We start from the raw sequence: 15,109 nt of genomic DNA, 5'->3' as shown, positions 1-15,109 counted from the left end.
TTTACACAAATTAGGTAATGGCAGATCCAGGCTTAGCAGCTGGTCTTGCAGCTCTCACTCCAGCATATTATTTCCTTTTTTTTTCTTCTTGAGATGGAGTCTCGCTCTGTCGCCCAGGCTAGAATGCAGTGGCGTGATCTCAGCTCACTGCAACCTCCGCCTCCCAGGTTCAAGCGATTCTCCTGCCTCAGCCTCCTGAGTAGCTACGACTAGAGGGGTGCGCCACCGCGCCTGGCAAATTTTTTCTATATTTAGTAGAGATAGGGTTTCATCATGTTGGCCAGGCTGGTCTCAAACTCTTGACCTCAAGTGATCTGCCCGCCTCGACCTCCCAAAGTGCTGGGATTACAGACGTGAGCCACCGCAGCTCTTGTATTTTCACCAAGAGAGTTTCTTGCTACTTACTCTTCCACCAAAAACAGTGATAATACTAATTATTTTAGTTATTACAGCTGAGACTCTGTGTTCCAGATCCCATCTTAACACCTTACACCTGCTCATCAAATCATTGTGACAACCTTGTAACATAGGTCCCATCATTATCCTTAGTTTATAGATGAGGAAACTGAGGCCCAGAAAGCAAGAGAACCTTGCCCAAGGTCACACAGCTAGTAGACAGCAGGGCTAGGATGCAAAGGCAGGCAGCCGGCCCCAGAGTCCACCTTGTAATCTCTGCACTCACTGCTTTCCATTAAACTTCTTGGGGATTTACCGCAAATCATGGTTACTTTTCTTTACTATTATCTCTATATATATATCAATTGACTTTCACTTACACAAGTAATATGTGAATGAATACATTCTAAAAAACAAAAACAAAATTAGGGCATGACTGACAAAACTAAACTCTGCTTGGACATTACTCTTATTTTCCACTGTGAGTAGTTTGGTAAGAATCCTCTCAGCCTTTTGCCTACACGTTTACATATGTACTTTACTGCCACTTTGCATACTCTTCCCACTGGGCCTCTAGAAAACAGTAGCTGAGACGGCAAACTTGAGACTGAAGAAAGGTTGTGGGGGCTGGAGATGGTATCACTTTCTGTTTTCTGTAGATCAGTTACCTATAAATATTCTGAAAGCTTCCCGGCAGGTGACTCAGCCAATGGGCCAGAGAGTTGGATGCATAATTAGGTTTCCTTGGCTATCTGCAGAGACAAAACCAGAGAAGGTGGGCTGTCTCTATCCAATATGGCTGCCACTCACCAAATGGGGTTTTGGGCCCTTGAAATGTGGCTTGTCCGAACTGAGATGGGATATAAGTGCAAAATACCAGATTTTGTAGCCTTATACAAAAAAAAAAAAAGAGGATAACATAGCTCATGCTTTTTTAAAAAAAACCTTTCCTATGGTGCTAAATTAATTTCTTTTCTTTCTTTCTTTCTTTCATTCATTTTCTTTCCTTCCTTCTTTCTTTTTTTTCTTATTTCTATGAGTCAGGGTTTCACTCTGTCACCCAAGCTGTAATGGCCTCACAAGTAGCTGGGACTTGTGTATGTGTAATCACTTCTAGCTAATTTTCTTTACTTCCTTCCTTCCTTTCTTTCTTTCTTTCTTTCTTTTCTTTCTTTCGAAACAGGGTTTCACTATGTTGCCCAGACTGGTCTCAAATTCCTGGCTTCAAGCAATCCTCTCACTTTGGCCTCCCAAAGTGCTAGGATTACAGGCATGAGCCACTGCACCTAGCCTTGAAATACTTTCTTTTTTTTCTCTCTCTCTTTTTTTTTTTGAGATGGACTGTCTTGTCACCCAGGCTGGAGTACAATGGCATGATCTTGGCTCACTATAACCTCCACCTCCCAGATTCAAGCTATTCTACTGCCTCAGCCTCTCAAGTAGTTGGGATTACAGGTGCCTACCACCGTGCCCGGCTAATTTTTGTATTTTTAGTAGAGACGGGGTTTCACCATGTTGGCCAGGCTGGTCTTGAACTCCTGACCTCAGGTGATCCACCCGACTCGGCCTCCCAAAGTGCCAGGATTACAGGCATGAGCCACTGTGCCCGACCAGAATGCTTTCTTTATATTGATTACGTGTTAAAATGGTCATTTTTAAAATATATCAGGTTAAATTAAATATATCATTTAAATTAACTTCAGCTTTTTTAATGAGGCTACTGGAAAAATTAAAAGTCCATATGTGGTTTGAATTCTTTTTTTTTTTTTTTAAACACACTCTGTTGCCCAGGCTGGAGTGCAGTGGCGAGATCTTGGCTCCCTGCAACCTCTGCCTCCCAGATTCAAGCGATTCTCCCGCCTCAACCTCCCAAGTAGCTGGGACTACAGGCGCCCACCATCACACCTGGCTAATTTTTGTATTTTTAGTTGAGAGGGGGTTTCACCATGTTAGCCAGGCTGGTCTCGAACTCCCGGCCTCAAGGGATCCATCCGCCTTGGCCTCCCACAGTGCTGGGATTACAGGCGTGAGCCACCGTGCCCGGCCTTGAATTCTATTTCTAATGGATAGCGCTGTTCTAAACAGTTGCTTGAGGAGACACTATTTTAAAAAATTATCTGAGAATGGTAATGATAGTTCGATTGTATCAGGTGCTCTAAGATGAGGTTGCAGGCTAAACACTTCCCATTGCTTATCTCTTCCATTCCTTCACAACAGTTGCATGAGCTAAGCACTATTCTTACCTCCATTTTGCAGAGGAGGAAACTGAAGCTCAGAGAAGTGAAGTCATTTGCCCAAGGTCACACAGCCAGGAAGCAGCCAAGCAGCAATCTGAACACATCCCTCAAGGGATTAACCCTGTGGATGACAGGACAAGAAAACCATTCACAGGGACCCGCCTCAGAGATGAGTATAGTCAGAAGAAAGTCCTGGAAAAGCCAGGTTCCAATGGGATAATACAAGCCCATCTCATTCACAGCCCTTTTTTTTTTTTTTTTTTTCTTTTTGAGACGGAGTTTTGGGTCTTGGTCTGTCACCCAGGCTGGAGTGCAGTCGCATGATCTCGGCTCACCGCAACCTCCACCTCCCCGGTTCAAGTGATTCTCCTGCCTCAGCCTCCTGAGTAGCTGGGATTACAGGTGTGCACCACCACACCTGGCTTTTTTTTTTTTTTTTTTTTGAGACAGAGTCTCACTCTATCGCCCAGGCTAGAGTGCAGTGGCTCGATCTTGGCTCACTGCAACCTCTGCTGCCCAGGTTCAAGTGATTCTCCTGCCTCAGCCTCCTGAGTAGCTGGGATTACAGGTGCCTGCCATCACGCCTGGCTAATTTTGTATTTTTAGTACAGACGGGTTTTCACCATGTTGGCCAGGCTGGTCTTGAACTCCTGACCTCGTGATCCGCTCGTCTCGTCCTCCCAAAGTGCTGGGATTACAGGTGTGAGCCACCGTGCCCAGCTTAATTTTTGTATTTTTAGTAGAGATGGGGTTTCACCATGTTGGCCAGGCTGGTCTTGAACTCCTGACCTCATGTGATCTGCCCACCTCAGCTTCCCAAAGTGCTAGGATTACAGGCATGAGCCACTGTGCCCGTCCTCATCCACAGCCTTTTGGGGGTGGGGGTGTTGTTTTGTTAGTTTGGGGGCCAGAGGAGAAACCAATCAGACAATTCGATACCTGCTTCTCTGCCCTACCCATTGCAAGGCCCAGCCCCTGCTCTGAATTAATATGGAGTTTACATTTGAAGAGTAAGTGTTAGTTTCTTTTTTTTTTTTTTTTTTTTTTTGAGACAGAGTCTTGCTCTGTCGCCCAGGCTGGAGTGCAGTGGGGCATTCTCGGCTCACTACAAGCTCTTCCTCCTGGGTTCACGCCATTCTCCTGCCTCAGCCTCCCGAGTAGCTGGGACTACAGGCACCCACCACCACACCCAGCTAATTTTTTGTATTTTTTAGTAGAGATGGGGTTTCACCATGTTGGCCAGGCTGGTCTTGAACTCCTGACCTCAGGTGATCTGCCTGCCTTGGCCTCCCAAAGTGCTGCGATTACAGGCATGAGCCACTGTGCCTGGCCAAGCTAATGCATTATAATTAGTGTATAAGGAGCAGTCAGTATGACCAGAAGTCACTTTGATTGTCATCTTAGTTTTGGCAGGTTTTGGCTGGCTTCTTTACTGCATCCTGTTTTATCAGTGGGGTTTTTATGACCTGTAAAAATACAAAAATTAGCCAGGTATGGTGGCACACACCTGTAATCCCAGCTACTTGGGAGGCTGAGGCAGAAGAATCACTTGAACCTGGGAGGTGGAGGTTGCAGCGAGCTGAGATTGTGCTGCTGCACTCCAGCCTGGATGACAGAGTGAGACTTTGTCTCAAAACAAACAAACCAAAAACTATATATCTATCTATCTATATCTGTCTAGATAGATAGATAGATATAGCAGCAATGGCTGCTTCCTGGCCATGTGACCTTGAGCAAATGACTTCACCCCTCTGTGTGTGTGTGTGTGTGTGTGTGTGTGTGTGTGTGTGTGTGTGTGTGTGTGTTTTAATATAATGCATTAGCTGCTAAAAGACACTCCCACCAGCACCACAACAGTTTACAAATGCCACGGCAACGTCTGGAAGCTACTGACAGAGCAGGAGCACTGTAATCTCTGACAAACAGAGATTTGTTAAAGCAGCTTAAAGCTGCTTTAAGTTCCAGCTCCCTTTCCAGCTTCATTCATTTCAAGGAGATCACTTCTCTTCTAACTACAAGCAGCCAGAAAGAGCAGAGAGTAAAACACAGATAAGATAGCTCGGGCACAGAGGGATGTGGGGGGAATGTCTCTTAGGTAACTGCCGAACTTCACCCTCATACAATGGGCCCCAGTAAAACAGTGGGCCTTAAATAAGCATATTCCTTTCCCTTCAGGTGCACTAAGATAGGGAAGCTAAAAGTAGACTCAGAGGATATGCCTGCAGCTGCAGGAAGATGTTTGGCAACAAACACACAACTCTCCCTCCCAGATAAGCACAACAAAGAGACACAGAAGCAGCCCAAGCCTCTGATAAACTCTCCCACCCTGAATCCTTAAAAACTCTTAGTCTGTAAGAGAGTGTGCCTTTGACAACTCGCCAGAAGCTCCTCTCAGGTTTGTTTTCTCTAAAATAAACCTGTCTTGACTGGTGAGCCACCTTTCATGTTTCTTTCCTCTTTCTTTAATTTGTGTTGGTCTAAAAGGAAGAAGAACTCTCAGTTCCAGGAAATCCCTCCCCCTTTCCCAAAACACCTATGAATAATCCATCCCTTTAGCATATGATCAAGAAATAATTATAAAAATAGCCAACCAGCAGCTCTCACAGCTTCTCTGTTCGTGGAGAAGCTATTATTTTAATTTTAATTTTTTTTTTGACACAGAGTCTCACTCTGTCACCCAGGCTGGAGTGCAGTGGCATGATCTCGGCTCACTGCAACCTCCGCCTCCTGGGTTAAAGCGATTCTCTTGCCTCAGCCTCCTGAGTACCTGGGACTATAGGCAGGTGCCACCACGCCCAGCTAATTTTTTGTATTTTTAGTAGAGACAGGGTTTCATTGTGTTAGCCAGGATGGTCTCGATCTCCTGACCTCGTGATCCACCCACCTTGGCTTCCCACAGTGCTGGGATTACAGGCGTGAGCCACTGTGCCCAGCCTTTAATTTGTTTTAATTTTTTTGAGACAGGGTCTCACTCTGTCACCCAGACTGGAGTGCCATGGCACAATCTCAGCTCACTGCAACCTCTGCCTTCTGGGCTCAAGTGATCCTCCCACCTCAGCCTTCTGAGTAGCTGAGACTACAGGCACATGCCACCATGCCCGGCTAATTTTTTTGTGTGTGTGGAGATGGGGTTTTGCCATATTGCCCAGGGTGGTCTTGAACTCCTGGACTCAAATGATCTGCCTGCCTCAGCCTCCCAAAGTGCTGGGATTACAGGCATGAGCCACTGCACCTGGCTCATTCTTTTTTTCTTTTCTTTACTTCTCTAATAAATTTGCTTTCACTTTACGGACTTGCCCTGAATTCTTCCTTGTGCGAGATCCAAGAACCCTCTCTTGGGGTCTGGATCAGGACTCCTTTCCGGTAACAATTGCAGCTCTGTGGTAGTGATATGATCTTATGATTACCTTCCAGCCAATGGGATGTACACAGAAATGGTATGTACAAGTTCTAGGAAGTGTCCTTAAAACTAAGGGGCATGCTCTTTGCTTCCCCTTTGCAAGCTTCTCTCTGGCTGGAATACACACATGACGGCAGGTGCTACAGCAGCTGTCTTGTGTCTCAAGAGGGCTGACAACTGTTGAGGATAGCATAAAAATAAGATGGAAGGAGCCCAGGTATCTGATAATTATGGAAGTGCCATTGAGCCCAAGTCTGCCCATATGTACTGTGAACCCCGAAAATTTGAGACAGGTCTCAGTTAATTTAGAAAGTTTATTTTGCCAAGGTTGAGGATGTGTGCCCATGACACAGCCTCAGGAGGCCCTGATGACATGTGCCCAAGGCGATCAGAGCACAGCTTGGTTTTATACATTTTAGGGAGACATGAGGCATCAATCAACATATGTACGATGAACATTGTTTAGGTCCAGAAAGGCGGGACAACTGGAAGTGGGGGAAAGAAAGGGGCTTCCAGGTCACAGGTAGGTGAGAGACAAATAGGGGGCATTCTTTTGAGTTTCTGATTAGCCTTTCCAAAGGAGGCAATCAGATATGCGTTTATCTCAGTGAGCAGAGGGGTGACTTTGAACAGAATGGGAGGCAGGTTTTCCACAAGCAGTTCCCAGCTTGATTTTTCCCCTACTTAGTAATTTTGGGGGCCCAAGATATTTTCCTTTCACAGTACCTTTCTATGAAAGAGAAATAAGCTTCTATCTTATTTCGGTCACTGCTAGTTGGTGTCTATTTGTTAAAGTAACTAAAGTGTTTTTTTGTTGTTGTTGTGTTTTTGAGTCTCACTCTGTTGCCCAGGCTGGAGTGCAGTGGTGCCATCTCAGCTTACAGCAACCTCCGCCTCCCAGGTTCAAGTGATTCTCCTGCCTCAGTCTCCCAAGTAGCTGGGATTACAGGCACCTGCCACCACCTAATTTTTGTATTTTTTGTAGAGATGGGGTTTTGCCATGTTGGCCAGGCTGGTCTTGAACTCCTGACCTCTGGGGATCCACCCACCTTGGCCTCCCAAAGTGCTGGGATTACAGGTGTGAGCCACCGCTCTCAGCCTGGTTGTTTTAAAACTAACACAGGCCAAGTTTATAGAAATTTCAGACAATGAAAAAAAAAAAATACAAGCCAGGTGCAGTGGCTCACACCTGTAATCCCAGCACTTTGGGAGGCTAAGGCAGGAGGATTGCTTGAGCCCAGGAGTTCAAGACCAGCCTGGGCAACATAGTGAGGCACCATCTCCACAAAAAATAAAAAAATTAGCCAGGCAGGGTGGTGCATACCTGTGGTCCCATCTACTCCAGAGGCTGAGGTGAGAGGATCATTTGGGCCTAGGAGGTCGAGGCTGCAGTGAGCCATGATTGCACCACTGCAATCCAGCCTGGGCAACAGAGTAAGACCCTGCCTGAAAAAAAAAAACAAATACAGACCATTGCTCAGAGCGACAAGTTGTAGATTGAGGGGAGTGGGGAAAGAAAGATCAGTGAGACTTTTGGGAGAGCATGGTGGGGCATTAGACTGCTTCAGATAGTGTGGAAGGCATTAGAAGTGGGACAGCAGTGGTAGAGATTAAAGGGTTAATAGCCCAGGACCGTCAGCCATCAGAGGTAAGCAGTGAGGAGACATTTCAGGAATTAAGTGAGTGATTCTGTGAACTGGGGTCAGGGACAAGCATCCGCCTCCGTTTCTATAAAATGGGTTGATAATGCTAACAAATGGAATAAAATAATAAAATGGTGTTGTGATGATGAAAAGAGATACAGTTCTTAACATGCTGCCTGACCCACAGGATGCACACAATATATGTTAGTAATTATTATTATTACTATTACTATTATCTCCTGCTGTGACTGGCCTAGCTAGTCTTCCAGCTCTCCTGCTACTGAAATGCCTTCCCCCAAGTTGTCCCGTGGGAATCTGAAACAGTGACAGTCTATTCTATTCGTTTCAGACAGTACAAGGGCCTGCAGAAAAGGCTCTTGGAGGCAATGATCTCTCTGCAAATGAATTGGAGACCAGCACAAGATCCTAGACTCAAAGCCTTCTGTCATGACTGGATGTGACTTTTTGAGGTGTCTTCCTTGGGTGATGGGGAGGTGTATTTTGAGAGCAGATGGGACAGAAATAAATCTTTGTAACCAAGCGGGCAAACATGGTGGAATATATTATTGTTTTTAATTTTTCACTCCTTTCTCTGTTTTCCGCCAACTGACTTGGCCATATGGCATGCTTTGGCCAACAGAATATGTAATGCCCGTCACATCCACCTAAGAGCTGTAAGAGGCATAGCTAGGGTTTTCTCCTGCTTTCTTACAAGTTTCCCTTCTGCAACAAGAATGGGCATGTCCCATAAGACCCCAGAATGAAAAGACACACAGAGCAGAGCCCAGCGTAGCCACAGCTGCAGCCACTGACATTAACAAGAGCAAGAAATCCACGTGTATTGTTGTAAACCATTGAGATGTGAGGATTGTTTGTTATGCAGCAAAGCTGACTTACACATCTGCCCCAGGGTTCTGGGAAGGACCAAAGGATGTGGAAGAAGATGGACCTCAGTTTGAATCCCAGCTCTTCCCAACATCGAATCCTAGGTGACTTTGAACAAGTCGCTTAACCTCCTGGGACTCCATTTTCCTCATCCGTGAAATAAGGATAATGATACTGCTTATACGTCATAGGGTTATGGTAAGGATTAGATGAGATCTTGTCCATAAAGGGCTTGGAGTTGAGAAAGGGCTCTGTTAATAGGTGGTACAAGGACAAGTTCAGCTGATATTCAGATCCCAGGCCTGACGAAGGCCTGACCTTGATCTCAAAGTGGAATTATAACTTTGCTGAGCTATATATATCTATATATATATAGCTATATATCTATACATAATAATCTATATATATATAGCTATATATATATATATATAGATTATTTAGCCTGTGTGTGTGTGTGTGTATATATACATATATATACATAATTTGGGTTGACAAGAACCCCACAACTGCCTCCAGTTTAAGCTGCACCGGCCATGCATGATGGCTCACACCTAGAATCCCAGTACTTTGGGAGGCCACAGCGGATGGTTCACTTGAGGTCAGGAGTTCGAGACCAGCCTGACCAACAAGGCAAAACCCCATCTCTACTAAAAATACAAAAATTAGCCAGGCATTGTGGCACACAACTGTAATCCCAACTCCTTAGGAGGCCAAGGCAGAAGAATCATTTTAACCTGGGAGGTGGAGGTTGTAGTGAGCTGAGATGGTACCACTGCATTCCAGCCTGGGTGACAGAGCGAGACTCCATCTAAAAAATTTTTAAAAAATTAAAAAAAAAAGCTACACCAACTCACCAACTTCTTTCCTCCACATTCCTCTTCCCAACCTCAGGCCTCTCCCACCAAAAAATAAAATAACAACACAAGAACAGAAAACCCACAGCTTGAGGTGCTGCTTAAGGCTGGCTTGAACCATGATCATTCACAACAAATGGCAAATTTGTTCATGTTTATCTTATCAATAGGTGTCCTTCCTCTTGGGCTGTTTGGGAAGCAAAGTTGGTCCACTCTTCAAAGTTTGCCTGCTCTTGGCTTGACTGGATGACCTTGAACTTTGAAGCAAGTTTTTATGTTGTGGAAGTGGCCCATTGAGCAAGTTTTATGGTGTGGAAGAGGTCTGTGAACACGCAATTTCACACCAATGCACGCAAACCTGCATGCATATACAACCATTTATATACATGCGTATACAACCACTTATATATACATGCACACAAAGATTTTCTTTTTTTTCTTTTTTCTTTTTTGAGACAGAGTCTTGCTTTATCACCCAGGCTGGAGTGCAGTGGCGTGATTTCAGCTCACTGCAACCTTTACCTCCTGGGTTCAAGCAATTCTCCTGCCTCAGCCTCCCGAGTAGCTGGGATTACAGGCGTATACCACCACGCCCGGCTTTTTTTTTTTTTTAAGTACAGATGGGGTTTATACCATGTTGGTCAGGCTGGTCTCGAACTCCTGACCTTGTGATCTGCGCACCTCAGCCTCCCAAAGTGCTGGGATTACAGGCATGAGCCACCACACCCGGCAAAGATTTTCTTAGCCAGTTTCCTACTTAGGTGACTTCCAGGGTTTTTCTAAGCTGCTTGTTCTGTTTGCAGTTACAAAAGACATTGACATGTATAGGCAGTATGTGTAGAGAGTGTAACTTTAGGCTCTGACTGAACTCAGAACAGAATCAGAGACAAGGATTCTACTGCAAGTTGTTTATTTGGAGGGTAATTCCAGGAAACATCAGGAAGAGGGTAAGAGAAGGAAGTTAATATAAGGGTATTTTCTCAAGCAAATTACCACTGTGGCAACTGGGGCATTCTGTTTGGGAATGCCAGGAGCTGGGTAGAACACACTTCAGAGTTATCCCATCTGCGGATCACTTGAGGTCATGAGTTCGAGAACAACATGGTAAAACCCCATCTCTCCTAAAACTACAAAAATTAGCTGGGTGTGGTGGCAGGTGTCTATAATCCCAGTTACTTAGGAGGCTGAGGCAGGAGAATCACTTGAACCCAGGAGGCAGAGGTTGCAGTGAGCCGAGATCACGCCACTGCACTCCACCCTGGGCAGCAGAGTGAGACTCTGTCTCTAAATAAATAAATACATACATACATACATACATACAGTTATCCCATCTGAGGGGTGAGGGAGCTGGGGTATTTATCCGCCAACCCCTGTCAGTCACTGGTTGAAGGATGTTCCCAGGGCAAACTAACTTCTTGGCACTACTGATTTGCCCCCAGACTTGTTGAGCAAGCCCTGGTAGACAGAGCCAAGTACAGGTGCTGGCAGCAGGTCCACGACTAGAGGGAGGCAAGTGAGGTGACTAGGGTGCAAAATTTAAGGAGGCACTTACTCTTGGGGTTGTGCAATTGCAGAGTGGACAGTTTGAACCTTTCTGGCACAGAAAGGCGATTACTGAAAGGCTATGGGGGAGGCACTGACAGTGTCTGCTACAGGTTTTGCAGGCAGGCAGGCTGCCTGGGTTTGATTCTTAATTCAGCCACTCAAGGGACACTCACTTAAGTTCCTTATAACTCTGCTTCCACATCTGTAAACTGAGATAATTATAGTGCTTACTTCATAGGACTGTTAGAGAGGATTACACGGATGATTCATATCAAATGCTGAGAACACAGCTGGGCACAAAATAAGCCTCCCATAAGCATTAGCTTTGATGACATTGCAATGAACGTTATAGTGCATTTATCTTGGTAGGCTTTTTTGGGGGTTTTTTTGTTTGTTTTGAGAGGGAGTCTCACTCTGTTCCCCAGGCTGGAGTGCAGTGGTGCCATCTTGGCTCACTGCATCCTCCGCCTCCCAGGTTCAAGTGATTCTCCTGCCTCAGCCTCCCTCGTAGCTAAGACTACAGGCACGTGCCACCATGCTAGGCTACTTTTTGTATTTTTAGTAGAGATGGGGTTTCGCCATGTTGGCCAGGCTGGTCTCGAACTCCTGACCTCAGGTGATCCACCCGCCTTGCCTCCCAGAGTGCTGGGATTACAGGCATGAGCCACCTCGCTCAGCCCTGGTGGTTTTTTGAGGATCAAGGAAGCAAGATCACCTAATAGTTAAGAAAAGAGCCTTTTGGCTCAGGCAGATGTGGGTTCAAGTCCCCAGTCCACAATTTGTTATGTGACCTTAGGCAAATCACTTAACTTCTCTGGACCTCAAGTCTCTAATAAAAATGATTATTAATCTGGGCATGGTAGCATGTGCCTGTAATCCCAGCCACTCAGGAGACTGAGACAGGAGGATCACTTGAACCCAGGAGTTTGAGACCAGCCTGGGCAACATAGCAAGACCCCATCTCTTACTTTTTGGCGGGGGGGTGGGGGATACAGTCTCACTCTGTTGCCCAGGCTGGAGTGCAGTGGTGTGATCACAGCTTGCTGCAGCCTCGATCTGCTAGGCTTAAGCAATCCTTCCACCTCAGACTCCTAAGTAGCTGGGACTACAGGCACGTGCCACCATGCCCAGCTAATTTTTTTTTTAAGAGATAGGGTCTTGCTATGTTGCCCAGGCTGGGAGATCCCATCTCATAAAAATAAAAATTATTATTTAATAATAAGATACTTAGCCACAATTTTTAAAGCTTTAAATAAAATTAAAAGATGTATGCAAGGTGTTTCTCTAAGCGCTGTGCCAGGCTTGAAGTCAAGTGTGCAATAAATCTTAGGTGTGATTGTTGGGTGTTCAATTTCGCATGCAAGCAGGAAGCTCCTGCCATGTTGGAGTGGCCAGGAAGCTATAATTCAGGCAGCAATATTTATTGCACACCTGCAAGATGCAAAGCACTAAGATGGGAAGTGAGGGCCATTAAAAAGAAACATTAACACTCTGTCTTGGTCCTGGTGGTAGACTGGAATTCTTCCATTTCTCCTTTAATAGAATCACACGTCCACACCCTCTGCTTTGTGACTTTGTGGTTCCTCTCTAGAATGGGCTATGAAAACTCTCCAGCAACCTTGAGAACGCACAAAAGGAGACAGAGTCTGGGCGCAGTGGCTCACGCCTGTAATCCCAGCACTGTGGAAGGCAAAGAGGGAGGATTGCTTGTGGCCAGGAGTTCAAAACCAGCCTGGGCAACACAGTGAGACCCCATCTCTACAAAAGTAAAAATAAAAATTAGCCAAACATGGTGATGCATGCCTGTAGTCCCAGCTGCTTAGGAGGCTGAGACAGGAGGATTGCTTGAGCCCAGGAGGTCAAGGCTGCAGTAAGCTGTAATCACACCACTGCACTCCAGCCTGGGTGACAGAGCAAGACCCTGTCTTTAAAAAACAAAAAAACAAAAAAGGCCAGGCATGGTGACCCATGCCTGTAATCCTTGCACTTTGGGAGGCTGAGGCAGGTGGATCATTTGAAGCCAGGAGTTCAAGACCAGCCTGGCCAACATGGTGAAAACCCATCTCTACTAAAAATACAAAACTTAGCTAGGCATGGTGGTACATGCCTATAGTCCCAGCTACTAGGGAGGCTGAGGTGGGAGGATCACTTGACCCTGGGAGGTGGAGGTTGCAGTGAGCCAAAATCATGCTACTGCACTTCAGCCTGGGCAACAGAGACAGACCCTGTTACAAAAAAAAAAAAAAAAAGCAAAAGGAGGCCAAGGGAAAAGTTAGAAAAACTTGGTCCCTGATGACTCTATGGATTTCCTACAGAAGACCTGAGTTGTCCCCCACCCCTCCATGAACTTATTTTAATATGAGAGAAAAACAAATCAGTAAGTGCTTGAGTTTCTGTTATACACAGCAAAAATGAAATCTATGGTACACGCCCTTCCTATTTTATTTATTTATTTATTCATTTTGAGACAGAGTCTCACTCTGTCGCCCAGGCTGGAGTGCAGTGGCATGATCTTGGCTCCTGCAACCTCTGCCTCCTGGGTTCAAGTGATTCTCCCGCCTCAGCCTCCCGAGTAGCTGGGACTACAGGCATGCACCACCAAGCCTGGCTAATTTTTGTATTTTTAGTGGAGACAGGGTCTCATCATGTTGGCCAGGCTGGTCTCGAACTCTTGACCTCAGGTGATCCACCTGTTCGGCCTCCCAAAGTGCTGGGATTACAGGCATGAGCCACCACGCCTGGCCTTATTTTATTATTTTTTATGCTCTGGGCACGGCACTGTGGAAGATCGTGTTTTCTGGGGATCGCAGAGGAACATTCTCAAGTCTTGCAAAGAGGAGACAGTTTCCAGGCTGCCTCCTGCAGGGTGTGGCTCCTCTGCCCATGCCCCTGGGATCTGGCTGTCCCTCACCTTATCTCCATCTCCTGTCAAAGGCCTCAACCCCTGCTCTGTGCCAGCCCGGTGACTTCTGCTTTCTGCAAAGAGACAAATCAGAAACACCCATCCATGTCAGATCAGCCCTGAGGTTGGTCCAGACACGAGGGTATGAGCTGCCCCAACACCAAGTCCCACTTTCCCTTGAGCTCAGTGGGCACCCATTCCACTCACGGTAGACCTGCCCATCTCTCCACTAGGTTCATTCATTACGCAGCTGGACCTTTTCATCCTGATGAATGCATCTCTTGGCAAGGGACACCAGGCCACAACTGCCAAAAATTTTTTAGTAATAATTTTTTTCTAGTCTTTTTTTTTTTCTTTTGAGACAGAATCTTGCTCTGTCGTCTAGGCTGGAGTGCAGTGGCACCATCATAGTTCACTGCAGCCTGGAACTCCTGGCCACAGCGATCCTCCCACCTTGGCCTCCCAAAGTGCTCAGATTACAGGCATGAGCCACTGTGCCTGGTCCAGAAATAATGTTCTGATGCAACCAAGGATAGCCAAGTTAGAACTCAGAGAAATGAGATCCACCACCCCCCTTAAATTCAGCTGCCAAATTCCAACCACTTACATTGTTTCTTTACCCACGCACCCCCACCTATTCACACTTCTTCAAGTAACAATACCTCAGTTTTCCTCTGAACAGCTTCTTACCCACGCTACTGGTTCATTTGGTCTGAGTGATGGAAATTCTACTTTCTGCACCCAGTGTAGTCATGTGATTTGCACATGGCCAATCAGAGCCTCGCAGGCCTCTGGCCTTAGTGATTAGTGTCTCCATTTGGACCACTGAGAGTCAGGCCCAGGATTTTGTTTCATCTCCTGCAAAGATAAAGGTAACTCCCTTCTCTGCTGGTCTTGGGCCTGTGAGGGTGGGATGGTGGGGGCTGCTGGCAACCACCTTTCCACCCAGAGGGTAACAGCTGATTGAGAGAGTGGCATTAGCACAAAAGGAAGCTAAACTAAGTGACGGAAAGAAAGAGACACACAGAGACCAGCCCGGATAGCATCATTTGAGCTCCTGGATCAAGCCACACTTGAATGTCTTTTTTTTTTTTTTTTTTAAAGACGGAATCTCACTCTGTTGCCCAGGCTGGAGTGCAGTGGTGCAACCTCGGCTTACTGTAACCGCCACCTCCCTAGTTCAAGTGATTCTCTTGCCTCAGCTTCCCAAGTAGCTGGGATTACAGGTGCCCGCCACCACACCCAGC

At 46.1% G+C, this 15,109-nt stretch overlaps 1 annotated feature.

Annotated features, from left to right (window-relative positions):
* Positions 904-1,243: an enhancer, noted in NCBI's record as "active region_7027". NCBI's record gives its function as "activates an Ori minimal core promoter by ATAC-STARR-seq in GM12878 lymphoblastoid cells {active_cell/tissue: GM12878}" and the evidence as "EXISTENCE:reporter gene assay evidence [ECO:0000049][PMID:35858748]".

This window comes from Homo sapiens, chromosome 12 (assembly GCF_000001405.40).
Source record: "Homo sapiens chromosome 12, GRCh38.p14 Primary Assembly".
Taxonomy (NCBI): Eukaryota; Metazoa; Chordata; class Mammalia; order Primates; family Hominidae; genus Homo; species Homo sapiens.
The sequence above is the reverse complement of the archived record's forward strand: the minus strand, read 5'-3'. Positions and strand labels throughout refer to the sequence as shown.